The sequence below is a fragment of the Homo sapiens genome, chromosome 14 (assembly GCF_000001405.40).
Source record: "Homo sapiens chromosome 14, GRCh38.p14 Primary Assembly".
Lineage (NCBI taxonomy): Eukaryota > Metazoa > Chordata > Mammalia > Primates > Hominidae > Homo > Homo sapiens.
Window position 1 is genome coordinate 55,636,644 of NC_000014.9, and position 27,266 is coordinate 55,663,909.

The 27,266-nt window shown below is 34.3% G+C and overlaps 1 protein-coding gene across 43 annotated transcripts in view; it reads left to right on the plus strand.

Moving 5' to 3' along the window:
- The window catches only part of KTN1 (kinectin 1), a 104,378-nt gene that overhangs the window by 56,437 nt on the left and 20,675 nt on the right, over positions 1-27,266 (plus strand). For 29 of the 43 annotated variants that reach the window (NR_073129.2, NR_175287.1, NR_175285.1 and 26 more), the window contains 22 exons: positions 555-721; positions 1,136-1,204; positions 2,542-2,579; positions 3,270-3,360; positions 3,731-3,799; positions 4,290-4,327; positions 4,484-4,565; positions 5,049-5,117; positions 10,330-10,364; positions 11,382-11,472; positions 12,159-12,227; positions 13,133-13,170; positions 13,685-13,775; positions 13,926-13,994; positions 15,247-15,284; positions 16,207-16,297; positions 16,374-16,442; positions 16,916-16,953; positions 19,399-19,489; positions 21,903-21,971; positions 23,023-23,060; positions 24,879-24,969. Coding sequence is in view for 33 of the 43 variants with exons in the window: in NM_001402686.1 (NP_001389615.1) it covers positions 555-721; positions 1,136-1,204; positions 2,542-2,579; positions 3,270-3,360; positions 3,731-3,799; positions 4,290-4,327; positions 4,484-4,565; positions 5,049-5,117; positions 10,330-10,364; positions 11,382-11,472; positions 12,159-12,227; positions 13,133-13,170; positions 13,685-13,775; positions 13,926-13,994; positions 15,247-15,284; positions 16,207-16,297; positions 16,374-16,442; positions 16,916-16,953; positions 19,399-19,489; positions 21,903-21,971; positions 23,023-23,060; positions 24,879-24,969 (1,541 nt within the window). In the remaining 10 variants the exon portion in view is untranslated. Of the gene's footprint in view, positions 1-554; positions 722-1,135; positions 1,205-2,541; positions 2,580-3,269; positions 3,361-3,730; positions 3,800-4,289; positions 4,328-4,483; positions 4,566-5,048; positions 5,118-10,329; positions 10,365-11,381; positions 11,473-12,158; positions 12,228-13,132; positions 13,171-13,684; positions 13,776-13,925; positions 13,995-14,643; positions 14,733-15,246; positions 15,285-16,206; positions 16,298-16,373; positions 16,443-16,915; positions 16,954-19,398; positions 19,490-21,902; positions 21,972-23,022; positions 23,061-24,878; positions 24,970-27,266 lie in introns of all 43 variants that reach the window. The other 14 variants (NR_073128.1, NM_001079522.2, NM_001402699.1 and 11 more) reach the window with 3 other exon arrangements.

Sequence of the window (27,266 nt, forward strand, 5' to 3'; positions counted from 1 at the left end):
ATAAAAATAGCTTTTATACTTTCAGAATATCTTTCTTTCTTTGACATTTGTTAGGGTTTTAAAATAAGTTACCTACTAGCTTTGCCTGAAGCATTAAAGTTGCAGGCAAAATTATAGTACATGATAGGTTAATGGGATCCTGGCTGTGTGTGTTTCTTTTCTGTAGTTATTCTCTTTGGTTCTTTGGTTAATTCTTTTTTTTTTTTCCCAAGAAAATACTCACTTCTTATTTTGAAGAGAAAAACAGAGCATTACCATCCCAGGTAGTTTACTTAAAACTGCCCATTTAATACATGCTAACGTTTACTCATTTACTCTTAATTTGATGGATCCATCTGGGAGATAATGGAGTACGTGTTATGTGTATTGTTTATTTCTCTACTACTCCCTTTCTCCCATGAAACGCAAGTATAGCCTGCTACAGGAGCATGCAAGAATGGAAGCAGGAGAGATTCAAAGAAGGTTTTCTAGAGGAGAGAATGCCTACACGAAAGATGAGTATGAGTAACTAGGCAAAGAAAGAGACCTCTGTAAAATGTAATGTTTTATTACAGATTTACAGAGTAAATTTGTGGCCAAAGAAAATGAAGTACAGAGTCTGCATAGTAAGCTTACAGATACCTTGGTATCAAAACAACAGTTGGAGCAAAGACTAATGCAGTTAATGGAATCAGAGCAGAAAAGGGTGAACAAAGAAGAGTCTCTACAAATGCAGGTTCAGGTATTTTTTCTTCTTTTTTTTTTTTTAAAAAAATACAGGTGGTCACTTATTAGATCTGTGTGTCTAGAAGAGAGACTAAAGTCTACCTTATCCTAATTCTGAAATGATGATGAATAATTATAACTTTGTCTTTTGAGCACTTGTCACAATATGGTGTGTTTGAAGGTGTGCTCACCCACAGTCTTAGGCTCTTTGTGTTAGATTAGGAATAGCACAAACATATCTTTAACTTCTGTCTTATAAGCTAACTCAGATTGTCTAATCATTGTTTAAAATAATGCCTTTTGGAATCTAAGAATGCCTTAAAAAAAAAAAAGAAAAAGATAAACAAATGTACCTATAATACATTGTGTTCATATACATGGGGTTATTTATTAGCATGCTTTTTCTCTTTTTGGTTGCTATTTATGAAAGGATATTTTGGAGCAGAATGAGGCTTTGAAAGCTCAAATTCAGCAGTTCCATTCCCAGATAGCAGCCCAGGTAATGATGCTTTCTTATTGCTTATGATTAATAACTTGCAGCCATTTAAACACTCACCTGAATGTCTGTTGAGTGCCAATTACTGGATTAATAGCTGGGAGACTAGTCAATGAATCAACAAATGATGATCCTGAGTGCTAAACACTTGCTAATTATGTACGGTGCTGAGGGAAAACACTAAGAAAGAAATCCATACCAACTAATTGGATGAGGGGAAGGTTAGAGAGCTTTTATTATACAAAAATGTCCCCAATCCTGTCACAAAACAAGGAGAGAGAATTGGCCAAATCCTATCTAGAATAGTGGCTTATGTATTACAGATGTTCATTAAATATCAGCTAGCTCTGGAAAATCCTAATATATCAGCAGGGGGAACAGTATGGTAACCATAGATCACAGATTATATTTGCAAAATGATCAATTGAAAATTTGTACCTCAGTTTAGTGACTCAGCCTTCCAAAGTTTTCAAGTGATAGTGTAAGACCTGTTATTCTTTGATGTGACATACATGTCTTTATAAATAATATAAAGAAAATCAAATAAAAACAAGTATTGTGAATTTTGAGCTTCAGTTTTTCAACTTGAAAATTCTGAGAGTTATTTGTAGCAAAAAGTATTGGCTTAGAAGTCTGACATTTCTGTATAAAAAGTGGTTTTTAACATTAAAATTTTGTTTTTAAGGTTCGGAGAAGTTCAGACTCCCAAAGCTTTGACCATATAAATATATTTTTCCCAGTTGCTTTATCTGTAGAAATTATAGTCTAAAGTAATTGAGGAAGAATTAATGCAGGAAAGGGTGCTGGTGTGGATGTGTATGTATATGTGAATTACCAACTCAGATTGAATTGTGATCTTTAGTTATCAGCTGAGAAGTAGCTCTAAAAAATTTATCAGGAGTTAAATACATAGAGAATGCTGTAAGAATCTTTTAAATAGTAAACATGAACATGGGTATTACTAAACTATATTAGTCATGGAATGGATAATTTTATTATTAAAAGTTGTTACTAAGGAGAAGAAACACAGGATGACAAATGGCCTTTCTGGCTGTTTTTCCTACTCATTTGTTGCTTGTCAATTATTTAGTTTCCAGGCCTGTCAACTTGTTTTATTCTAAATGTCTTGTGATATGTAATTCGTGACTACTGGCTGTTGGTGATCAAACTTGCTTTCAGAATGATAGTTACTCTTTATTGAACACTTACCATGGGCCAGATACTTTCATAACAATTTATATACATTAACTTCTCTTAAAATTTAAAGCTGTTATGATTATTGTATAGCTATAAAGCTTTCTCTTAAATACTTTTATGTTGACACTATTTTTCTTTCTTAGACCTCCGCTTCAGTTCTAGCAGAAGAATTACATAAAGTGTAAGCCTACCTTTTCACACTCTTATAATTGTGTAGTCACCACTAACTGATACTTGTTAGATGCGACACTTATGATTAACTTTATACCTCTGACGACCTGTTCAGAAAATACTCTGAACTAGATTTGGAGCAACTTTTGCTTTTTTTTTTTTTTTTTCCTTTTTCCCATTAGTGAGTTGGGTCCCTAAACATTATATATTCTGCTTTTATTTATGTTTTTATTATAACAAGAGTTGGGGAGACTTTCATTTGAGTGTTAGCAATTATGTGGAAGAGGTAATTGTTTAGAAAGTAGTGGAAGTAAATTAGTTTTTGTGTCTTATAAGTAGTTGTAGTTCTTCTGTGTCCAGCTCTGTGGTAGTATACCCAAAACAAAGTTATATGCTTTTTTTGTGCCGTATAATTTTGCATGGACACTGATCACTTGAGTTCGGAAGATCTGAAATCTGGTTTTGACATAGCTAGCTTTAACAAATTAACCTCTTTTATCTCGAGTTTTAAAACAGGGTTATGTATTTTAAGGAGTTATAGTAATGTGTGTGACAGTTGTTAGTAAACTGAAAGGGGCTATAGAAATGGAAGGTATATGAGAACTACTGAAGTAAGGATGATGCTTTTTAAGGCTTTAAATCCTTTTGATTTGTGACTTCTGAATGTTTATTGAATGTACAAATGTCTTTCCTTCTAAAGGATTGCAGAAAAGGATAAGCAGATAAAACAGACTGAAGATTCTTTAGCAAGTGAACGTGATCGTTTAACAAGTAAAGAAGAGGAACTTAAGGTATAGTAATTTGTATAAATGGCTGCAATATTTTACAGAACTGAAATTTAAATTACTTTGATGCACATAATCAGTAAGTGTATATGAAAAATGGAAAATAGTCTAGAATTCATTTGAAATAACTGTTTTTCTAAACTACAAAATTCTCTAGCTCTCTACGAGGAAAAATTCAAAGGGCTTCTCTCATGTGATATAATTTACAATAATTTGATAGGAATATGCTAAATAACAGGAATTGGTGGTTTCTCTTGATTATTTGGGAAATTTTGTAAGTTGAGACATTTGCTTAACTCTTTTGTAGAAAAGATGCTTTACAAACTTTAAAATCAGTTGTATTAAGTATTTTAAATGCTATTTTTCCTTGTTCTAGGATATACAGAATATGAATTTCTTATTAAAAGCTGAAGTGCAGAAATTACAGGCCCTGGCAAATGAGCAGGTAGATCTTTATTGCTTTTGAGCATTGATCTCAGAATTTCAATTTGCGTATTCTTATTTTCATTGATATTGTGAGCCCCAATTTGATTGTGTAAGTAAAAAATATAATGGTTTATCATCTTTGGCTGCATGATTTGATGTTACTGTTTTTATGTTGAAATAAATGTTTGATCCAGTGAATTAATCACTTCAAGATATCACAGGAGGCAGTTAAAATTATCTTACTATGCTGGTTTGTTTGAGTCTTTTATTTGAGCCATTTAATTCAAAAAGGATATACCTTTTTGTTAGTGTATATGAAGAATGGAAAATAGTCTAGAATAAAAGAAGTAAAAAATATCGAACAGCAAAACATGTTACAGAAATATACAGTATTGCTGTAACTTCAAATATATGGAAATACAGCTTTTTAATATGTAAAAATTAGTGAAAAAAATAGTTTTGAGCACTTCCTGTGAAGTGATATCATTTTCTTCTCATTCCACACACAGGCTGCTGCTGCACATGAATTGGAGAAGATGCAACAAAGGTGACTAAAGTATTGTACATCTAGTCGTTCATACATTTATGTTTAATTATAATTGTTGCAGAAAATATTGCTGCTTATAACTGATAGTTGTGCCCATAATTCTTGTAGATTTTCTGAATGTATGAAGTATTTTAATTTTTTTTTTCACCCTCATAGTGTTTATGTTAAAGATGATAAAATAAGATTGCTGGAAGAGCAACTACAACATGAAATTTCAAACAAAATGGAAGAATTTAAGGTGTGTGATTAAGCTTGTACACTCAGGTTTCTTAGAACAACCTTGTATACTTTTCAGTTGAGTGATTCCAGAAATACTACGTTTTGTATGAAGTCACTCTGAAACAGTGTTTCTGTAGTTTATTAGGGGACTTATGCAAACCATGAATTTTATCATAGACTTTCCCCCTAGATTATCTGTTCTTTTAGTGGAGCTTGGAGATTTATTTTTGGCCCCCAATCTTTTCTCAGCTGATAGTTTCTATTTGGGACTGTCTTATTTGTCTCCACTGTTGCTGTAGTTCTAGTTTCTGGTCATGGCCAACCAAGTGCTAGGGTGCATCTCTGTGTCCAGTGAAATTTGAATTATGTCAGTGTATAATTCACCTGTCACTTTGAGGACTGAAAGCTGAGATAAAGGTTTGATTGTTCAAAAACCCATTCAAATGATTGCTTTATTACCTTTTTTCTTAATAAAACAGTAAATTGAGACTCTTTCTTCCAGATTCTAAATGACCAAAACAAAGCATTAAAATCAGAAGTTCAGAAGCTACAGACTCTTGTTTCTGAACAGGTAAGGCTTTTCCTAAATTACAAAGTAGAAATACTTGTTATATAACAAGATCTGGTTCTTCTTATTTAGGTACCAAATTACTAATTGAGAAATTTTGCTTAAGCTTAGATATGGCTGTTATTGCCTTTCTATTCATCCTGTATCTAAATTCAGGAAATTTTTTCTCCCTGAGGTGAAGCTAATGCCAATCTGCTCAAAAGCACATTCCAGAAAAATAAAAATGTGTAATAGGATGCATAAAAATAATTTAAGCCATTTTGATACATTTGACTTTCAGAATAAATGTCCTGCCTTAGACTTGGAGCCTCAGCTTTTTCTTTTAGGGAGCATGGTGTCTTTAAAGGTTGAAACTTATTACTAGCACTTAAAAGCAGTGTGATGTTGATCAAATAGCTTAACCTTTGTGACACCTCTCATTCCAAGCCTTTCACATGGAGATTATATTATATTTACACCATAAAGTTGTTAGATTTGAAAGGAGAAGCTTATGTATGGTGCCTAGTCTAGTGCTTTGTTTATGACAGGTATCTAAACCTTAATTCTTTTCCCTTAGAGTATTTATTTTATCCATCTCATCTCCATCCCCTGCCACCATCACTATTCATTTTATATTTATAGCAAGACATCAAAACTATATCAGCTTTGAATAAGCATGGTTCCATAAATTAGAGCCCAGTGGTATCTGTTCTCTGCCTATTCCTCAGTGCTGCCTTCGTACTCTTCTTCTACGCAGCTCTTACAATTACAATTTATTAATAAAACACAAACTCTTGATGACACATTAGAATAGGAAGTTTGCGTTTGTTCCTAATATTAAGTTTTTGAATTGTACTTTTATTGGAAGCCGAAATGTAAAGCCATTGCAAATGATAGCACTTCTTTAGCAAATGCATGCGTTCTTTCATTTATTTTAAAATTCACATTTATGCAGATATTGAGCTGGTGTAAGTAGCTGTGCCTCTGGAAGTATTTTGTTAACTTGTCAAGAAATAATCCATTTATTCTACCTCCCCGTATGATATTAAGTGCATTATTACATAGTCTTACTACTTACTTTGTATTTGCTTTACCCTTGTAAACTAAAGGTAATAGAGGAGACAGTGCTGAAGGGATGATATTTAGTTTAAATGGCATTTAAGGCTTATTCTTTTTTTTTTTTTTCTTCTTGAGACAGAGTCTTCCTCTGTTGCCCAGGCTGGAGTTCAGTAGCACTATCTTGGCTCACTGTATCCTCCACCTCCCAGGTTAAAGCCATTCTCGTGCCTCAGTCTCCTGAGTAGCTGGGACTACAGGCATATGCCACCATGCTCCGCTGATTTTTGTATTTTTAGCAGAGACGGGGTTTTGCAATATTAGCCAGGCTGGTCTTGAACTCCTGGCCTTAAGTGATCTGCCTGCCTCGGCCTCCCAAAGTGCTGGGATTACAGATGTGAGCCACTGTGCCCAGCTAAGGCTTATTTTTGTCTTATTTCCTTTTCTGGTATAGCTTACAAAAAAGATATGATACCAATTATAAGATTTCTCTCCCCCCACCCTCCCTTACCATCTCTGAAATAAGAATGTATCTTGTAGTCTCTGGTTACAGTTTAGTTGTTTAGTTGGCAACATTTTTAATTTTTACTGTTAAATAGCAGTGGTGAGATATAACATTGGTGACTTGGATTAGATAAAATGTAATAGATTTTTGTGTGTGTGTTCTTACTTGGAAAAGCAGAGTATAGTTTCTGTGTGTTAGTTACCAGAGATTTTTGAAATGCTGATAACCAGTGTATGAAGTTTTAAACTTTAAAATTAACTTCATGGAGGTAAAACAAATGCTTAGAAACTTCTGAAACTGTCCTAGAATTCTTATATTCTAGTAGTATCCAGGTGCTGGCGACTCTTATTTAAACAGAAAACTTCTGTTCTTTGCTAAAAATGGTATTTTCCATCATTAGATAAAAGTAAAACCACCAGCCTTAAATTTTTCTTTTCCTTTAAAATCATGTAATACCTTGAGAAATGCCATTGTAATACCTTATGTAAAATTCCCAATCATATTTATGAAAGTTAATATTATTGCTATCTTATTAAGTCAGCCTTTTATTATAATGTTTCTACGTACTTTTAGATGTTTTGTTAAAGTGACAACTTTTAGTATGAGATGTGCTTTTGTTATGAAGAATAATTCACAGGATAAAATTTTATAGCCACATTTTTTGATTTATTTAAAAGAATTATTTGATAAGGGGGAAACTCATTTTGTGATACTAATTTAAGATCTGTTGGGTAATTCTTAGAATTGTTCTTCTGACTCTGAAAGCTTTTTATTAATAGTCTAGAAAGCATATGACTGAGGTTTTGGTTATAGTTGAGACTTCTTTCATCTTGGCAGACAAAGAATCATTTCTGTGGCTTTTCCTCTAGTCGTTTTTATTGTTGCTGCTAGTGAAAGAAGAGAAAAGATTGGTATAATCTTAATTTCTGTCATTTCCACTTTTCTTTAACCCCTTTCTATCCCACAGTCAGAATTCCAAGTGACAGTTGAGAGATTGAACAGTTTAGTTATGTAAAAATTTCAGTCCTTTTACCCCATGGATTTTTATTCTGGAGGAAAAGATTGAGCGTATAAAAGCAGAAACCAATAATGGTGCCAAGTTGTTGTTTCTTCAGGTGTAGGAAGCAGAAAGACAACAGGTACCAAGTAAGTTAACCTGTTGATACCCTAAAGGAGGGAAGGCTGCATTTGGATTTAGGCTTGCAGATGGTCAGATAATGCAAATAAATCATTTACTAATATTTCATTTACTCAGAATAAGACTTTTTTTTTTTTTTTTTTTGCTGTGGGGGAGCACATTTTGACTTTTAGTGAAGGAGCAGCATGACATTCTTATTCCAGTAGATTTTTAAGATTCAGTGATCAAGATTATTAAGTGAAAACTATAAGAAGTTTCTTCTTTTTGCCCTACTGCCTTGTTAAATTGTATTGCAGAATATATTGTATATGGTTTAGTTTTGGAAATCATCTAGGGGAGGAAACAGTAGGATTGGATTAAACCAATAAAGTATGAAGTAAAGTAAAAATGTTGGAGGAGATGCAAACTAAGCTGAGTCAGGTTTATGCAATAGAGTATTTGATGAGCTGCAGACCAAGAATACTTTCTAAACTGGAACTTCATTAAAAAAAATTCATCAAATACTTATTTACTAGTTGAGTATATGCTAGTTGCTTACCTACATGCTGAGGTTGCAGAGATGAATGAGACTTGATTCTTGCCCTCCTAATATGGAGATAGATATGTTAAACAGAAAGTTATGGTGAATGAAGTTTCTGAACTCTATACAGGTTTAGAGGAAGAGATAATGCATTCTATTAATATTTGAAGGAGGTGGGGAGGTAACACAGGGAACAACTAAACCTCGTTTTGAAAAATGAGCATGAATTTGCCAAAGAGCTAAGAGACAGTCCAGGCTGAGGGAATACAATGTTCAAAGACATGACAGTGTGGCAAGATTGGCATATTCAGAGTATTGGTATATTGCAGAAGTACAAAATACAGGAAGGATGTAAGGAGTAGAGAAAGATTTGCTAAGACCTAATTATGAAGGGCTTTGTATGCTGTGTCAGGACCATGAACCTGATGCAGCATGTGGGTAAGCCACTAAAGAGTGTTGCAAGGATAAATGAGCATTTAGCCTAACATTTTAGAAAGAATACTCTGGTAGGTAGGAGTAACTAAAGGTACAATACAGTAAATGGTTAAGGTGCAGGTAACTTAGACTTAATAGTGTTATGTCTTTTTGTGAGATGGCATTCATTGAAAATATAGATGGACAAAAGCCATCTTCATGAATGATTTAAAGGCTTAATGCATGATTTGTTTTTCATAGTATAAACCTGATTTAATGTACTTTTGACAACTCCTATTTCCCTTCTCATGTTTGGATTATTTTTTCCCATTGGGAAGTTTTTTCCTGTGCCTCCTACAAAACAATTCTTATGAACTAGAAGCAGAGAGAAGAATTAGGGTATTATGATATTTGAGATGAGTAAGCTGAGGGCCAAAACTTAGGCATTAAAGAGAAGGGTTTAATTTCATAAATATGTACAGAGTGGAATTTTAGGACTTGGATAGGGCAGTGGAAAAATTAATATCATTTGTAAAAAATGATTGTAATAAGATTGGGAAAAACAAAAAAATGGGAAAAAAGTAAGAAACTAGCAAGATTGGGAAAGAGGTGCACAGAAGAGAATGTTCTAGGAGAAAGACCCTAAATCTTTTTGGTCAGGCTGCTTGGCTGTCTGAAGATAAGGGAAGATAAGGGAATACTGAGGGAGAAATCCCACTTTGGACATAAGATAAATTTTAACATTGGGGACTTGTGTGTGTACCAGAGGATGCCAGGAGAAGTTTCAAAGGGGACTCATCTTACATGTCATGTTCTAATGCTTTATAAATAGAATGTATTCCTGTTGCTTTTGCAATTTACAATCAGTTTTAAAACATTTTATATCTTGATCTGGTTGGTAGTTACATAATATCTATCTACCAAAATTCACTGAGCTGTGAACAGGATTTATGCACTTGTCTACGTAAATGTTACACCTTAGTATAGAAAAAAAATCAATTAAAAGAGCCCATGTTTGTCTGTCTTTCTTTCTTTCTTCCTTTTTTTCCTTTCTTTCCTTCCTTTCCTTTCCTTTTCCTTTTCCTTTTCCTTTTCCTTTCCTTTCCTTTCCTTTCCTTTCCTTTCCTTTCCTTTCCTTTCCTTTCCTTTCCTTTCCTTTCCTTTCCTTTCCTTTCCTTCTCTCTTTCTCTCTCTTTCTCTTTCTCTTTCCTTCTCTTTTCTTCTTTTCTTTCTTTTTTTTTGGACTTGCGAGGTCTTAGAGTCTGGATTCTTTGTATTTGAAGAATTGAATTAATGTAAAGGAAGTGAGGCAGATTGTCTTAAGGTTATCTTTTCTAGTGATTAAGATTTTTTTCATAAGATACTAATTCATTTTGCCAGCCCATTTTACACTGCTACTTTTTCTGTGTCTCTTGTGTAGATGTATCTCTTTGTTTTGTGTTTTCTGAATTTTTTAATTATCAAGTCTTCAGATAAGTTATTGTCCTAAATTTTGTATCTATTTAATAACCCTAAACAATTTTCACAAAATTACATTTCTCATCTGGTTTTACTTCATGCAAATTTGGTAAAGTTAAACTTTTTTTGGTGATTTTTATTTTAGCCTAATAAGGATGTTGTGGAACAAATGGAAAAATGGTAAGAGTTTAGTTTTCTTTTTATATTTTGATGAGTTACTTCTACCAAATTAACTACATTAATTAGAGTTTTAAAATTCTCTTTAAACTTTGTAATGGAAGAAATGTAGTATGCTGTTGATTTGGGATTACATTACCGTTTGTGGGTTTCACGTGTGGCAGTAATTTTACTTGTTGAGGCTAGCATATAAGAATGAATTACTTGAGTACATTTTACTTGTAAAGAGGAAGTATCCTCAGACCATGATCAAAGATCCCTAGAAGCCTTTCTAGAATTAAAAGTTTATAAGAAATGATGGACAAAAGAGTTGATCCATTTAAAATGATTAGAAATAATATCATTAACTGCTGGGCGTGGTGGCTCACACCTGTAATCCCAGCACTTTGGGAGGCTGAGGCGGGTGGATCACCTGAGGTCAGGGGTTTGAAACCAGCCTGGCCAACATGGCAAACCCTGTCTGTACCAAATGTACAAAATTAGCCAGGCATGGTGGTGCATGCCTGTAATCCCAGCTACTTGGGAGGCTGAGGCAGGAGAATCACTTGAACCTGGGAGGCAGAGGTTGCAGTGAGCCGAAATCATGCCATTGCACTCCAGCCTGGGCGACAAGAGTGAAACTCTGCCTCAAAAAAAAAAAAAAAAAAAAAAAAAAAGAGCCAGGCATGGTGGCTGATGCTGGTAATCCCCAGCACTTTGGGAGGCCAAGGCGGGTGGATCATGAGGTCAGGAGATCGAGACCATCCTGGCTAACATGGTGAAACCCCATCTCTACTAAAAATACAAAAAATTAGCCAGGCGTGGTGGCGGGCGCCTGTAGTCCCAGCTACTCGGGAGGGTGAGGCAGGAGAATGGCATGAACCCGGGAGGCGGAGCTTGCAGTGAGCTGAGATTGCACCACTGCACTCCAGCCTGGGCGACAGAGCGAGTCTCTGTCTCAAAAAAAAATAATAATTATAATAATAATATCATTAACTTTGAAAAATAGTTAATACATGTGTTACAAATTTATAATTTCAGCATTCAAGAAAAAGATGAGAAGTTAAAGACTGTGGAAGAATTACTTGAAACTGGACTTATTCAGGTGGCAACTAAAGAAGAGGAGCTGAATGTAAAGCATTTTGTAGTTTTGTTTTCCTTGTGATTATTCAGTGACATAAAAGGATTTCTCTGTAATTTGTGTAAGGTTTTTCCCATAGATCTTAAACTTAATAGTACCTCTCACATTTATAAATTTATATAATGCTTTTTTAATTAAAGTTTTTTTAGAAGTTAAAAATGCATAACATTGACTGCCTTAATGAGGTAGATACTATTGTTATAGTTTGTCAGTTTCCCCACTTGCACCAAAATTATAACCAAATGATAACTAGCAGACTTAATTCATGAAATAGTACTGGAGGCCAGAGAAGAGATTGCCATTCTATTTTATGGTTGTCATTAGCTTTACCTAACTTGATTGGGAAAAGGTTGCGGGAAGAAGTAAGTTAAAAGATGTATTTGAATGTAGGGAGAGGAGTAGCTTAACTAACAAGTTGTATACTGTATATTTTTGAGGTTGTCCAGACATGAGTGGAAATATATGTGGATGTAATTGAATTAAAAATTTGTTTGGATAGCTATAGAAGTTACAGAATTATAGACATTACAGAATTATAGACATGGAAAAAAGTGAGAGTTTTGGGCCTTCCAGAGTAGAAAAGAAGCAGCTAAAGAAATGAGAAACTAATGTATTTTGAAGCTAGCTATATTTTTCAGAGAGTAAAATCATGTTTTGCTTATGTGTCTTTGAAAAAGGCAATAAGAACAGAAAATTCATCTCTGACAAAAGAAGTTCAAGACTTAAAAGCTAAGCAAAATGATCAGGTAATGTAAATTTTTACAACTGTTCTTTGTCTCTGTGTTTTTTGTTTGTTTGTTTGTTGTTTTTAAATTAAAAGAAACGGGGTCTTGCTCTTTTGCCCAGGCTGGAGTGCAGTGGTACAATCATAACTCACCGTAACCTCGAACTCCTGGGCTCAACCGATAACTCCTCCCTCAGTCTTCTAAGTAGCTAAGACTGTAGGCTCATGCCACAATGCTCGGCTTTTATTTTATTTTTTTGTAGAGATAGGGTCTCGACATGTTGTCCAGACTGGTCACAAACTCCTGGCCTCAAGTGGTGCTCCCACCTTAGCTTCCTAAAGTGTTGGAATTATAGGCATGAGGCACTGTGCCCAGCCCATTCTCTTTTAAACAGTGGGCAAACTGTTGCATAAAAACAAGTCTGTTGTTTCTCTTCCTCCAGGTTGGAATATGTCAATTATAGTTTTAATTTATGAATGATAATCAGTAATAGAGGCTGCAATTTAATACTGATTGCCAGGTACTGTGACAAATACTCCAGATAGGGTGCCATTGCCTCTTACTAGAGTGATAAAAAGGTTCTAAGTATACAAATATAAAGTAAGACTCTAGTAAAAGAGGCCGCCTGAAATTAGGCAGTTTCTTAGTTGTGTTTTCTCTATGGTTGGAATTATTGATTAAATAATTTTAACATTTATCTAATGATTTTTTCTTTTGGCATATTTATAAGTGACCTTAAAGCTACCTATGTTCAAAATGCTATTTGTTGTCATTATTATGACATTAAAAAAGTCTCGAAAGAATGCCTGGGCTTTTCCCATTTGGATTTTGATTGTATTGGAAAATCTAAGGATAATGTGCATTTCTATTTCTGACCCATTTCTATTTTGAACAAATTACTAAGTAGGATACTTTCCTATTTCCAGGTTTCTTTTGCCTCTCTAGTTGAAGAACTTAAGAAAGTGTAAGTGATAACATTATTATAAACTGGTTTTTCTTCTTTGGTCCATTTTTTTTTTGTGTGTGCTTAGAAATCTAGTTTTATTGTGCAGTTGGGACAGCTGATGTATGTTTAACTTTCACTCTATAATTTTTCTTAATGGAATAAGAGAACTTAGCTGTGCTTTCCCAAATTCAGTATAATTAAAAAAAAAAAAACAAAAAAAAACTATTTCCAGAGGATGGGAGTCAGTATAGTTGAATGGAACTTGATTCTCCTCTGTATTCCTCAGGGTACAAATCTTATATTTCTGATGTACTTCTGAAGCACTTAACTGACTTCTTGTGTGCATAGGCTTCAGCTGTCTGTTAGGAGGAGCTTTATGTTCACCCTGGCCATTCTACAAAGACATGTTGCTATTTTATTTAAAATGGGAAAGGGTTGATTTGGAGAGCCATTTCATTATTTGGTGCTATTTTTATATCTTGGTGGGTCTTGGTGATTTCTAATCAAATTATACTGCATTTCTTTATTGAAGGATCCATGAGAAAGATGGAAAGATCAAGTCTGTAGAAGAGCTTCTGGAGGCAGAACTTCTCAAAGTTGCTAACAAGGAGAAAACTGTTCAGGTATTGGGAGACAGAGAACTGTGTTTTATGTTTTTGTTTATCAACTTTAGTTAATATCATTTAATTTCGTGTGTTTTTGTCTGTGCATTGCATTTTATGTCAATTTCTGTGTTTCCATTGTCCAATCTTGTCTGTTTTGTCATTGTCAAGGATTTGAAACAGGAAATAAAGGCTCTAAAAGAAGAAATAGGAAATGTCCAGCTTGAAAAGGCTCAACAGGTAAAAATCCCAGAGCCATAGCATGACAGATTTATTAGTTGTGTTATTTATGAGCTATTTGATTTTTTTTCTTGTTACTCAGAAAAAACTTAGTATGCTGTAGGTATATTGGGTTATGTGCTTTTAATTTTATTTTTTGCCTGATTTGAGAAAGTATTCTTGATATTTTAATCTGTATATCTTAAAAATTTTAACTGTTAATGGTTATTTTCTAGAACATTTTTTGTGTTAATGTTTCATTTTAGTTTGCCAATTACAAATGAAACACGAAACAGTTTGGCAATTTTTTTAATCCCCCTGCCCCCTTCTAAAAGAAAACTGCATGGACCAAAATGTTATTTGAATATACATTGCTCTATCTCTGCCTTAGAACAAAGTACAAGTTTCATTGGGATTTCAGACATAGATGTGATTACTGGAAATTGATGAGTTTTGCTGATTTTAATCTGATAAGGCTTTCTTGAAAAAATAGTGAGATTTCATTGAAGAGATGATTCATTCATCTCATAGATTCATTCAGCAATATTTATTGTCAAAGCAGTACTTGTCAAAGCACTGTACTCGTGATTGGTGGATCACTAGCTAGTGATTGGAGATAATGTGTTGAATGAAACAGGTAGGATGAAAAGATCATACTTTTCTAATATAGATTGAGAGTTCAGGAAAGTCTTCTCCTGAGGAACTGACATCTAAGCCAAGAATCTGAAGGGCCTGTGAGAAGAGAGTGGAGGATAAAAGGTATTATCAGACTGTGTATGATTAAGAAAAAATTAAAAAAGGACATCATAGAGTACTGTTGAGTAGTTGGCCTTGAAAACTGGGATGGAGAAGAGCTCTGATACAGTAGGGAGGTGTGTGGAGAGTTAATATTCTAATTTTCAGTACTGTAGAAGTATGACTGGTCTGAGTGCAGTGGTGTTTACAACTGATTGATCACAACCAGTTACAGATTTCTTTATTCCTTCTCCATCCCACTGCTTCACTTGACTAGCCTAAAGAAAAAAAGCATCACATTAGTTAGACTTATTATTCATAACTATTTTCCTTGTCCCTCCCCCTTATTATTTTTAGTTTATTAATTTTCCTGTTATTGGAGTCAAGAGGAGGTAAACTCAAAACACATCTCATTTTGTCATGAAAAATTCAGCTAGTTTCTTTGTAATTTGAAGTGTACACATTATAAAGACTTATAAAGCTTAATAAGTTAAATTGAAAGGATTATTAATTGATTTTTCTGTCCTTTGTATTTCAGTTATCTATCACTTCCAAAGTTCAGGAGCTTCAGAACTTGTAAGTACCATTTATCTCATTTCCTTTTACTATTTCTTTTTCATGAGTTAAATAGAAGTATAATGAAAATTATAGCTTCTTGATTTCAAGTGGTGTTTTAGAAAATACGAAAATACTGATTATCTCAAAACTCCTAAGGGCCCTAAGTTTCTTATTTGGCTTTAACCTATTAAGTTTTTTTGTGGGAAGGAGGTAGGAAGTCTTTTCATGATTTATAATCTGAATATAACCTCAAATTGAGATGTTGCTCTTTGCCTATTTTAATAGCCATGTGAAATTGGTATCTTCCACATCCAGATCAATTGTAGTAAGTTTTCCAAATTTGTTTGTATTGACTTAAACAAGGTGATACAGGGTAGAGGTACAGCTAAACTAACTTACTCATGTCTGGATATTCAGTGATAGAATGGTTTTCCTTAATCATCCTATGCTTCCTGATTTGATTGTCTCCAAAATCTTAAATGCCTTTTTTTTTTTTTTTTTTTTTTTGAGATGGAATCTCGCTCTGTCGCCCAGGCTGGAGTGCAGTGGCATGATCTCGGCTCACTGCAACCTCCACCTCCCGGGTTCAAGTGATTGTCTTGCCTCAGCCTCCCGAGTAGCTGGGACTACAGGCGCGTACCACCACGCCCGGCTAATTTTTTTGTATTTTTAGTAGAGACGGGGTTTCACCGTGTTAGCCAGGATGGTCTTGATCTCCTGACCTTGTGATCCGCCCGCCTTGGCCTCCCAAAGTGTTGGGATTACAGGCGTGAGCCACTGCGCCTGGCCTTGTATGCCTTTATACTTGATAAGTTTTAGTTTAGTTCAATCAGCTGGTCTGTGAGTACTACCCAAAATATACTTTTTTCAGTGTCTAAGATTTTTGCTTTTTATGGTCATGTAACATTTTCATTTAGAGTTCTGATTAATTTATTATCAGATTAAAAGGAAAAGAGGAACAGATGAATACCATGAAGGCTGTTTTGGAAGAGAAAGAGAAAGACCTAGCCAATACAGGGAAGTGGTTACAGGTGAGAAATTAAAAACAATAAAAAATAGCCTTTTTATACTTGACTATCAATTTAATTTACACCTATTCTTTTTAAGGATCTTCAAGAAGAAAATGAATCTTTAAAAGCACATGTTCAGGAAGTAGCACAACATAACTTGAAAGAGGTATAGTATAAACAAATTACCAACATGTTACATAAGGAATGATAAATCTTTGTTTAAGGCATTAGAAAGTAAAGATGTTAATATGTTCTGAGTTTCTTTGCCAGAAAAATTATGTTGTACCATAGTTTTGTTGTTGTTTAAATAAGTTAGCTTTTATTTCTGGCAAGTCATACTTAACTGCTTAATCTGTCAACCTGAGCCTACAAGCATTTCCTTATCTCTACCTTTTCAAATAGACTCTTAGTTCATCCTTAACTATCTGTTTAAAGTATTAGTCTTTAATCTTTTAATAAGTATGAAAAATTGTTTAATAAAACTCATTCTGTCCTTGCTTTATAAATGACCCAATCTTAAATTTACTGCATATAATTATGTTTTTGTTTTTATTGGTGGGTGATTCCATATATATGTTTTAGCACCTACAACATAACATTTAATGCTAACAGCATTAAAAATATGATTCTGTTTCTCAGGCCTCTTCTGCATCACAGTTTGAAGAACTTGAGATTGTGTAAGTATGCTTTAAGACCACATTTTGAAGAGAAACAAACGTCTCATTATTTTCCAGGGTGTGCTTGAATATAATGATGAGTTTCCTGTACATCATTAACTTTATTGTTAAGTGGAAATTATAATTCCAGACGCAAATAGGCTAAGTCTCTGTTGGGTAAAATAAAGGTTATTTAAATGCTTTCAGATACCTGGAGACTTTATCCTTTCCAAATCCATCAAACCCATTTTTTCAATTATTCTTTCTGCAAATATAGGCTGGTTTTAAGTTATTTTTTAAAACAAAATATGCAATTATTATAGAGATTAAACTTATTTCAAATGAAAATTAGTATTTGAATTAGATGTTAGTAACATCTCTGAATTAACCAAAAGATAATCTTAGCCATAATCTTGATAATGAATTTTAAACCTTTCTGTAATTTTAATTTATTTATAGGGAAAATGGAACTTGTCATATTATCCTGTGCTGAATAGGAAAACTGAATCTAGTCAGCATAAGAGGTGTCAGTTTCTGTAGATATTAATCTTAGAAAATGTTTTATTCTAGAGAGTCTGTTGTCTTAAGGTACAGCAGGTTACAATGGTGGGAAAGGGTATCTGGACCTGATCTTTTTGGCCCCCTTTAAAATTGCTTTTAACAAATTTTTCTTGGTGATACCATTACTCTTTATTGATATTTGTTTTAAAGAAGTGCCCCGTTTTAAACTGTCAAGATATTGAGGATATTTATTAGGTTATTATCTTTCTAAAAGGGAGATTACTCTGTTCTTGGAAGATTACTCATTTGTACAATTATTGTTTGTCTTTTGGCTATGGTGTAACTGTCGAGGTGCTTATCTCTTATTTGCTTGGAAAGCTTAGGGCCTCATTTCTGGCCTGTTTATAGTAGAGATATGTAGACCATTAAAGTAGGTAATTTTAGGTATATTTCTGCCTTACATTTTTTTTTTTTTTGCCATTTTCTTTTTTAAATTAATAGATTTTATTTTTTGTGGTGGAGAACTTTTTATATTTATAGGAAAAAGAGAAATACCAATTCTCCCTATTAACATCTTGCATTAGCATGGTACATTTGTTACAAGTGATGAGCCAATAGCAGTACATTGTTATCGTTGTTATTAACTGAAGTTCATAGTTTCCATTAGGAAACTATGTGGGTTTTAACATGTATAATGACATGTATCTATCATTACAGTATCATACAAAACAGTTTTACTGCCTTAAAAATCTCCTGTGTTCTACCTGTGTATCCCTCCCTCCCTTCCTCCACATCCCGGCAGCACCCCCCGGCAACCAATGATCTTACTGTCTTCAGAGTTTTACCTTTTCCAGAATATCGTAGTTGAAATCATACAGTATATGGCTTTTCTGGTTTGGCTCTTTTCTTTTCTTTTTTTTTGGGACAGAGTCTTTCTCTGTGGCCCAGGCTGGAGTACATGGAGTGCAGGGCTGTGATCATGGCTCACTGCAGCCAGGACATCCTGGGCTCAAGCGATCCTCCCACCTCAGCCTTTCGAGTAGCTGGGACTACAGGCACATGCCACCATGCCTGGCTAATTTTTTAGAAACAGAGTCTCCCTGTGTTGCCCAGGCTGGTCTTGATCTCCTGGGCTTGAGTGATCCTCCCACCTTGGCCTCCCAAAATGCTGGGATTACAGGCATGAGCCACCATGCTCACCCTTGGATTGCCTTCTTTTACTTAGCAATATGCATTTGAGTTTTTCCCTTTTTATACATTTATCTCACTCTTCATGTATGCTGTTTTGTCATTTTTTTCATATAGATTTATAAGCATCTTGAAATTCTGGATCAAGGTGTGGTAAAAATAAGTGTTCAGCTCAACGAATACTTGAGACTCTATTATGTGCTTTCTGGCATTGGGGATACCGAAATGGATAAGATTTCCTATCCTGAGGAAACAGTTAAACACATCATTTTGATGGTGGTGTTATGCTAGCGGTCTATTGCTTAGGATGACCAGGGCAATTGAGATTCACTTGGGCTAGATAGAGTAAGATTTACGTCAGCATTGGGTAAGGGAAAAACAGATTAAATTATCCATAGCATCTCTTCAGTACAAAGGTTAGACATATTTTGTAATTTCCAGGGTCAACAAATTATGACTAAGATTCTTGGGGGCAAAACTCCTTGCTTTTGAAGTGGTAATTTTTGCAACAATTTGATAAAATATAGTTTTGTTCTTAGTTTTTGTTTTAGAGTTTCTTCCTAGATAAAGCCACATTTGCTTAAGAAATGTTAAGTATGACTGAGTAGAATGATCCTAGAAATATCTTTTTAAACAAACTTCTAAGTTGGTATAATATGGGGGAAAAAAAGCTGGTATGTATTGTTTCTGCCATCTTTTTTCTTAGGGGTGATATTGGAGTCTGGTTTTCCTTTTTTATGTACTTTAGTTAATGCAGATCTTTGTAAAAAATTCTAGGTTGAAAGAAAAGGAAAATGAATTGAAGAGGTTAGAAGCCATGCTAAAAGAGAGGGAGAGTGATCTTTCTAGCAAAACACAGCTGTTACAGGTGAATATGGTGACTTAAAATTAATTATTTTGTAAATTATTGTCTTTGCATGCTTTAAAATAATTTTTAACTGCTGCCAAAAAATAGAGTACAGAATGAGTCTCCCTCCCACCCAGATACTAGGTGTCATTATTGGCATGTTTTTTGAGTAAGTACCCATGCATAAAATGTGTGTATGTATGTATACTTGTTTATTAAATACTCTGTTGAACTATACTAACTTGTATATTTTGCTTTCTTCACAATTAACAGTGTTTTCAAGATCTTTCCATATAAAGCACATTTCTGCCTTAACTTTTAATAGTTTTATGATATTGGATGGTTATATCATTTATTTTATTTTTATTTTTGAGACAGAGTCTTGCTGTGTTGCTCAGGCTGGAGTACAGTGGCGTGATCTCGGCTCGCTGCAACCTCCTCCTCCTGGGTTCAAGCCATTCTCCTTGCCTTAGCCTCTAGAGTAGCTGGGACTACAGGCATGCACCACTATGCCCAGCTAATTTTTGTATTTTTTAGTAGAGATGGGGTTTCAGCATGTTGGCCAGACTGGTCTCGAACTCCTGACCTCAGGTGATCCTCCCACCTCGGCCTCCCAAAGTGCTGAGATTATAGGTGTGAGCCACCGCAGCCAGCATATATCATTTATATAACCAATTCCAGTTGATGGATACCTAGATTATTTAGGGCTGTTTTTTCTGCACAAACAGTGCAGCAGTGAATATCCTTGCACATGTTTTGAATACTTTTACTAGTGTTATCTGTATCCTAGAAGTGAAATTCTGGATCAAGGCTTATGTAGCTTTTTTGTTTGTTAAAAGAGATAGTTAAATAGAAAATCAATATCTTACCTTCATGCAGTTAGTATTCAACTTACTTACAGAAGATTGATTTGAAGTCATAGCAAATGTGTAGATGCCTACATTGTCTTGGATTAATCTTGCTCACATTACATGCTTCAAGGTTTGAGTCTACCACATTCCTTCTCCCTCTCATGTAGGTTCATTTTAAATTTTGTTAGACAATGCTAGATAGACCTGCAAAAGTGTTTTCACTAATTGACACTCTCACCAACTAAGGGCCATTTCACCTTCTTCCTTTCCAACATTGACAAGGATAAAAATTTTTGATATTATACTTGAAAGATGGTAAGATTATTTTTAATTTGCATTTGACTGCGAGAGAAGTTAAGCATTTTTCGTATGTTCAAGCCATTTTTATATGAATTGTCCTTTAATTTTTCCCACACTTTTTCCACTGAGTTGACGTTTTTTTTTTTTTTACTAATTTGTAAGATCCTTTTTATGTAATAAGGGAAATTAAATAACCTTTTGTTATTATATGAGGTGATTTATTTTCCCCATTTTTTCTTCTGACTTCATTTGTGTTTTTCCCCTTTTTGGGAAATTTGAAACTTTTATGTACTCAAATATAAGTAATTTCTAGAGTTTTAAGTCTCTGGAAGAAAGGTATCTCTCTACGATCATAAAAATGTATTCGGCTGGGTGTGGTAGTTCACAGTAGTAATCCCAGCACTTTGGGAGGCTGAGACAGGTGGATCTCTTGAGGTCAGGGGTTCGAGACCAAACATGGCCAACGTGGTGAAACCCCGACTCTACTAAAAAAATACAAAAATTAGCCGGGCATGGTGGCAGGTGCCTGTAGTCCCAGATACTCGGGAAGCTGAGACAGGAGAATCACTTGAACCCGGGAGGCAGAGGCTGCAGTGAGTTAAGATCACACCACTGCACTCCAGCCTGGGTAACACAGCAAGACTGCCATCTTTAAAAAAAAAAAATTACATTTTCTTCTAATGTGTTTATAATTCTTTTTGTTTGTTTGTTTGTTTAGCTTATTTAGTGTAACTTATTTCAGTAAGCTGTAACAATAACATTGTAACCATTAAAAAGAGAAGGCTAGCCACATTATTAAATAATCCATCATAACAGTAGTAATTCCGTTCCCCAGGGGGACATTTGTCAATATCTGAAGACATTTTTGGTTGTCACAGCTGGGGCAGGCGGGCTGGGGCATCTAGTGGATGGGTGCCATGGATGCTTCTAAATGTCCAGCAGTGCATAGGATAAAACCCCCACAACAAAGAAAAATATGAAACCCAAAATGTTACTAGAGTTGAGGTTGATTTGAAATGTCACTTCATACTAAATTCTTAGAGCTATTTCGGTATATTTCTGGATTCTATTTTGTTCCATTGAGACATGCAAACTCCGCAGCTAGTACTAATATAAATACTCTAATTTCATCATATGTTTTAATAAAGAGCTTATTACACCCTTTAAAATTATTGCTATTTTGGAATTTTTCTAGCTTGTATGATCTGTTTCTAGCTTGTATGATCTAAGTTTATGTGGAAAAAATCTGTTTAGATACTGATGTTTAATTTTTATTTAATTAGGATGTACAAGATGAAAACAAATTGTTTAAGTCCCAAATTGAGCAGCTTAAACAACAAAACTACCAACAGGTAGGTATTATTAGATGTCTTGCCTTTCACTTACGTGGCAAAAAAATTATATAACCAGTGACATATGAGTATTTTTGCCATTTCTGCATTTTCATTGAGAATGAAGTATGTTTTATTTATGTTTATCAAATTTTATATAAAAGAAAGCAACTTGCTATGTCATATCCAAAGTAAAACAAATCTATAAAGTATACACAAATAATATTATTGCCGGTATTCCAGCTCTGTTTTGTATTCATGTGTGTTTTCTGATCCTAGAATTCTTAGCAAGTCAGTTTAAATACTGTAGAGGTTGGGTTAAAGATATGTGTACACACTCTTATCTCCCCTCTTCCCAAATGAAACATTAGTAACTGGAGAGAAACTAACAAATGTATCATAAGCAATAGTCTACTACTATTTAAAAGAGGTTTTCAAGTTATAATTCTGCTTGGTAAATCAAAAGTGTGTTTTTATAAAAGATGCTACCCAAAATAGCCTGTAAATTAATTTATGCATGTATATGGATAGACTTGATAGTATTTTGAGAAACAAATGAATTGGAGTCCTTGCAAACAAGAAGCTTGAGAGATTATTGTCACCAAGGAATAAATACCATATATGAAGGGCTGTGTACCTTTGCATGTTGATGTATAAATAACTTTGTTAAACGTGAGGAAACATAACTTGTCCTAGTTTTGCTTTTGATTTCTGTTTTTTTTTTTTTTTTTTAACTTGGAAGCTTAACAGTTTTATGTAGTCAAATTTGAATTGTGCAGTTTGAAAATGTAAGGTGTGCTTCCATGCACATAGTGGGAAATTGATAAATACTTATTAAATGAAGAGTTCAAGTACGTTGCGACAGTAGAGATTGGATTTAGCATTCCATACATTTTACAGATTTGTACATGTTTTTATTAAAATCACTTGATTAAAGTCAGGGTTACTGGCATATGAAATATATACTATTTTTACTTTTGTTGTTTTCTTAATTTATATTTGAGAAAAGCTTCAATGTTTTTAAGTCTCCTGAAAAGTTTTGTTCTGAAATAACATTTAACTCTTTTGATAGGCATCTTCTTTTCCCCCTCATGAAGAATTATTAAAAGTGTAAGTAATAAGTTTGAGTCACAGTTTATAAAGTCGTAACTATTTTTATGTGGTAAACCATTCTCAAATAAGCAATTTAGTGTAACTGCAAATGGCACCTGATTTTTACAGTTCTATTTGGATATCTTGAATTGCAGTTTAGAGTTGAGTAGTACCTTTGGCTAAGATGCTTTTTTTATGGTATTTGGATTTGAATATTTTGTTGAGGGAGATGTTTGTTTTTGTTTTTTTAGGCATTCAGAAAACATCAAATCAAGTTAAACTATACTTTGCAGGGTTTTCTAAATCACCTTCTATTATGTCAGTTATCTTACTGGGTCTTCTTTCTTCTAGATGTGATTGTGTAATTGAATGATGCAAATTTTGTCTTAGCTTCATTTTTTAAAGAAATTTTAGGATAGATGTGGTAGCTCACGCCTGTAATCCCAGCAGCTGGGGAGACTGAGACGGGAGGATCACTGAGCTCAGGGGTTTGAGATCAGCCTGGGCAACATAGTCAGACCTCGTCTCTACGAAAAGTTTAGAAATTCCGGGTGTGATGGCATGCACCTGTGGTCCCAGCTACTCGGGAGGCTGAAGTGGGAGGATCTTTTTAGCCCAGGAAGTTCGCACCATTGCACTCCAGCCTGGCACCAAGAAAAAAAAAATACATACATATAGTCTTTATGATTGTCTTTCTTAAGGAGTTTTTTTTTTTTTTTTTTTTTACTGATACCTTTTTCTTGTTGGCCTGTAATTTTCTCTGTGAGGCTACATTTAAGGTCATTTCACATAAGTTAGTGTGTTTCAACATGTTAAAATGTCAACCACATTAAGTATATTAATAGATGATGTAAGTGATCTATCATTGGGAATATTGTTAATTTTTTTTCTTTTAATCTAAATGTTTTTCCATCTTGGTTGGTTTACAGAGTTGCTTGTGTACTAGGTTAGAATTATTGACTATTAAATCGAGTCTTGAGTTTGACTATATAGAGAAAAGGTTGGCAAATATTTTCTGTAAAGGCCCTGATAGCATTTTAGGCCTGTGGGACCCATAGGTCTGTTTTATACATGTGTATATATATGTGTATATGTGTGTACATGTATAAATAAAACAACACTTTAAAAATGTAAAAACAGCTCTTAGTTTGAGGACCTACAAAAACAGACTGTGGAGTGGGCCCATAGCCCTAGTTTGCCAGCCTCTTATATGGACACTGATTCTCAGGGAAGAGCTATTTGTTATTTAACTTTCTACTCCAGCCACTCTCAACTATAACAGAATCAAATTATGAATCTTTGCCATTGCCTTCTGCGTTTCTGGGAAACAGTAGCAGAAAAAAACATGAATGTTGAGATTGGTATGAAAATGGCAGGAAAACACTGAGCTCATTTTAATATTATACTTTTGTTGTGGGTTAGCCATTTAAAGTTATAACTGATTCATTGCCCTCTGGAAAAAAAAATATATTTAAGGGACTGCTTCTACATCAGTTTTAACTCCTCTAAAAATAGCTACTGTGTACTGACCCAGGTAAAACTATAAATAGCTACAACAGTTCATATCTTCATAATATGTTTCTTAGGGGATGAGATTTCTCTTTAGCACAAGCCTGAGCATACCATATTAGGCATAAAAACTTATATTAGAAATCATTTCTGAAATTCATAGGATGGGCTTTGTATGGTCAACAGTAGGTAGACTCTTTAATGTACTTTTCAAGGTGCTATCTCTTGATATTTTTATTTTGTAATAGCAAATGTTGATAGGTAGGGATCTAAGTTGTATTACTGTTTACCTAAAATCTTGCTACATGTATTCATGTTCTGGTTTAGAATTTCAGAAAGAGAGAAAGAAATAAGTGGTCTCTGGAATGAGTTAGATTCTTTGAAGGATGCAGTTGAACACCAGAGGAAGAAAAACAATGTAAGTAGATCTTTATCAGAATGAAGCTTTTCTTTTTATTACTTTAACACTGAAATATGGTTCAGGAATTTTTTTTAAATCTACTTTTACTTTAGATTTCTTAATCTTTGTAAGAAAGTACTATTTTCTGTGTGTAGTTTTTTCGGGGGGCGGGGCATTATTGGAGAACAGTTTTTTTTAAATAAGTGAAAAGATGAATTCTTATTCTTATAAATATTTAAATGTTGAAGCTATAATTATTATACCTTTAGTTATTTTAAAAAGCTAAAAATGCAATTGACTTTTTGTTGAACTTTTATTTGGAAAAACATGTTTTTCAGCTTGGTATTTTAAAATCAAAGATATTTCCTCTTAGATTGGGCTGGCCTTTTTGTAAACTAAAAGTAATGCCAGTATTCAAACCCAGTATACTCAGTAATGGGGTCTTTTGAAAGCCTTCTGGAACCTCCTCCTGCCCTTTTTTTTTTTTTTTTTTTAAGACAGGGTCTCGCTCTGTTGCCCAGGCTGGAGGTGGCTTGAACTTGGCTCACTGCAAACTCGGCCTCCTGGGTTCAGGCGATTCTCCTGCCTCACCCTCCTGAGTAGCTGGAACTACAGGCGTGCACCACCATACTCAGCTAATGTTTTTTGTATTTTTAGTAGAGGTGGGGTTTTACCATGTAGGCCAGGCTGGTCTCGAACTCCTGATCTCAAGTGATCCACCTGCCTCGGCCTCGCAAAGTGCTGGGATTATAGGTGTGAGCCACGGCACCTGGCCAGAACCTCCCATTTTTAACTGAGAGGTGGTTCAAATTTTGGTAATTAAGTGTGTTAGAGGCTTTAGAACCTGACTACATTTATACTAGAAAGGGAAGGGATAGTGCTTTCAGAAATATGAACCCTAATAACTTACTGAATAGACAAACAATTTAGTGGAATTTCTTAACTTTTCTCATACCAGAGGGCAACACCTGTAAGTAGAGTCCAAGCATTCTTGCTAGAGAAGAAATTTTTGTACACTGTAGTGTGATTGCTAAGACTTGAGCAAGGATAAAATGTTACTGAAATCTAAGGGAGTATTGCTAGTAAATGGATGTGTGTTTTCTGTTTTTCAAAGTTTGTGTTAAATTGTTAATTTAACAAGTTGACATTTTCTTGTACCCCTGAGTTTGTCAAAATTAGGTACATGAATTGCCACTTCTGTGTTGGTATAACAGTACTAACAGCATTGCTTAGCCACAAAACTTGAGGTGAACTTGCCGATATACTGCTAACATCTTAACTGTGTTTTATTATTGGACTTCTGAGATAAGGAGGGCATGGTAATGCAGCAGCAGCAGCAGCGCTGGAGACATTGAACCCGTGTGAAAAGAGCCAGGACACTGGAGGCCAGCAGATAGCAGTGTCAGTCTTTCCTTCTAGTTTTGCCACTTCGTTTTCTGTGTATACTTGGCTCAGTTTCCTAACTTACTTGAGCTGTGGTTTCCCTATCTATAGAATGGGAATAAATACCTCATGGGGTTGTTGTAACGGTGAGAATTTGTGAACTGCCAAGTACAGTGGTTGGCATATATTAAGTAATAAATGGTGATTATTGGCTTTTTATTTTTCGTTGTTGGTTTTTATCTGTTTAGATTTCTCATTCTGAAAAAAAAGACTGAAATATAGCAGATTATATTTGTGAATGAAATGCTGTTAAAATCCAGATCTCTCAATTTTTAATAACCTCTTTCGCCTCCAAGAGAATCTATTTTATAGCCTTCCAGCCTTCCCCTTTGCTTTGATCAACTAGCTCATACAATTCATGTAAGGTTGTTTTGTGGCATGAATGTTTGGCCATGCCAAGAAAGACATAGGACACAGTGGGTTACTATGGGATTCCTAGGTAGATTTGAAACATGTTAATTGTATTAAACCATAGAGAAAAAACGTTACACTGCAGTGGAAAGTCCTATGAGTGTTATTGGGCCTCGTTTAAACATCACATGAAAAGCTTTTTATAATACTTCTATATTTGCTCTGTCTTTAATCTTCTAATGTTCAATGTACCTGAAATCATGTATGTATTCTTGGTTTGTGTCTTTACTTTTGAATGCTTTCTTCTTTGTCACATGTGCATAGTAATTATTTTAAAAGCTGGCCTATTTGATATATATACTAAAACATGGAAAGTGGGCGTCTTTATTTTCTCATTCAAACTTCTAAACATTGCTTTTTATTTTTTTGCTAATATGCATATTTTCCCATTGAAATAATTTTGCAGTAACCAGCATTTAAATGCAGTGCAAAATACTGATGAAGTAAAAAAGCAAAAATCT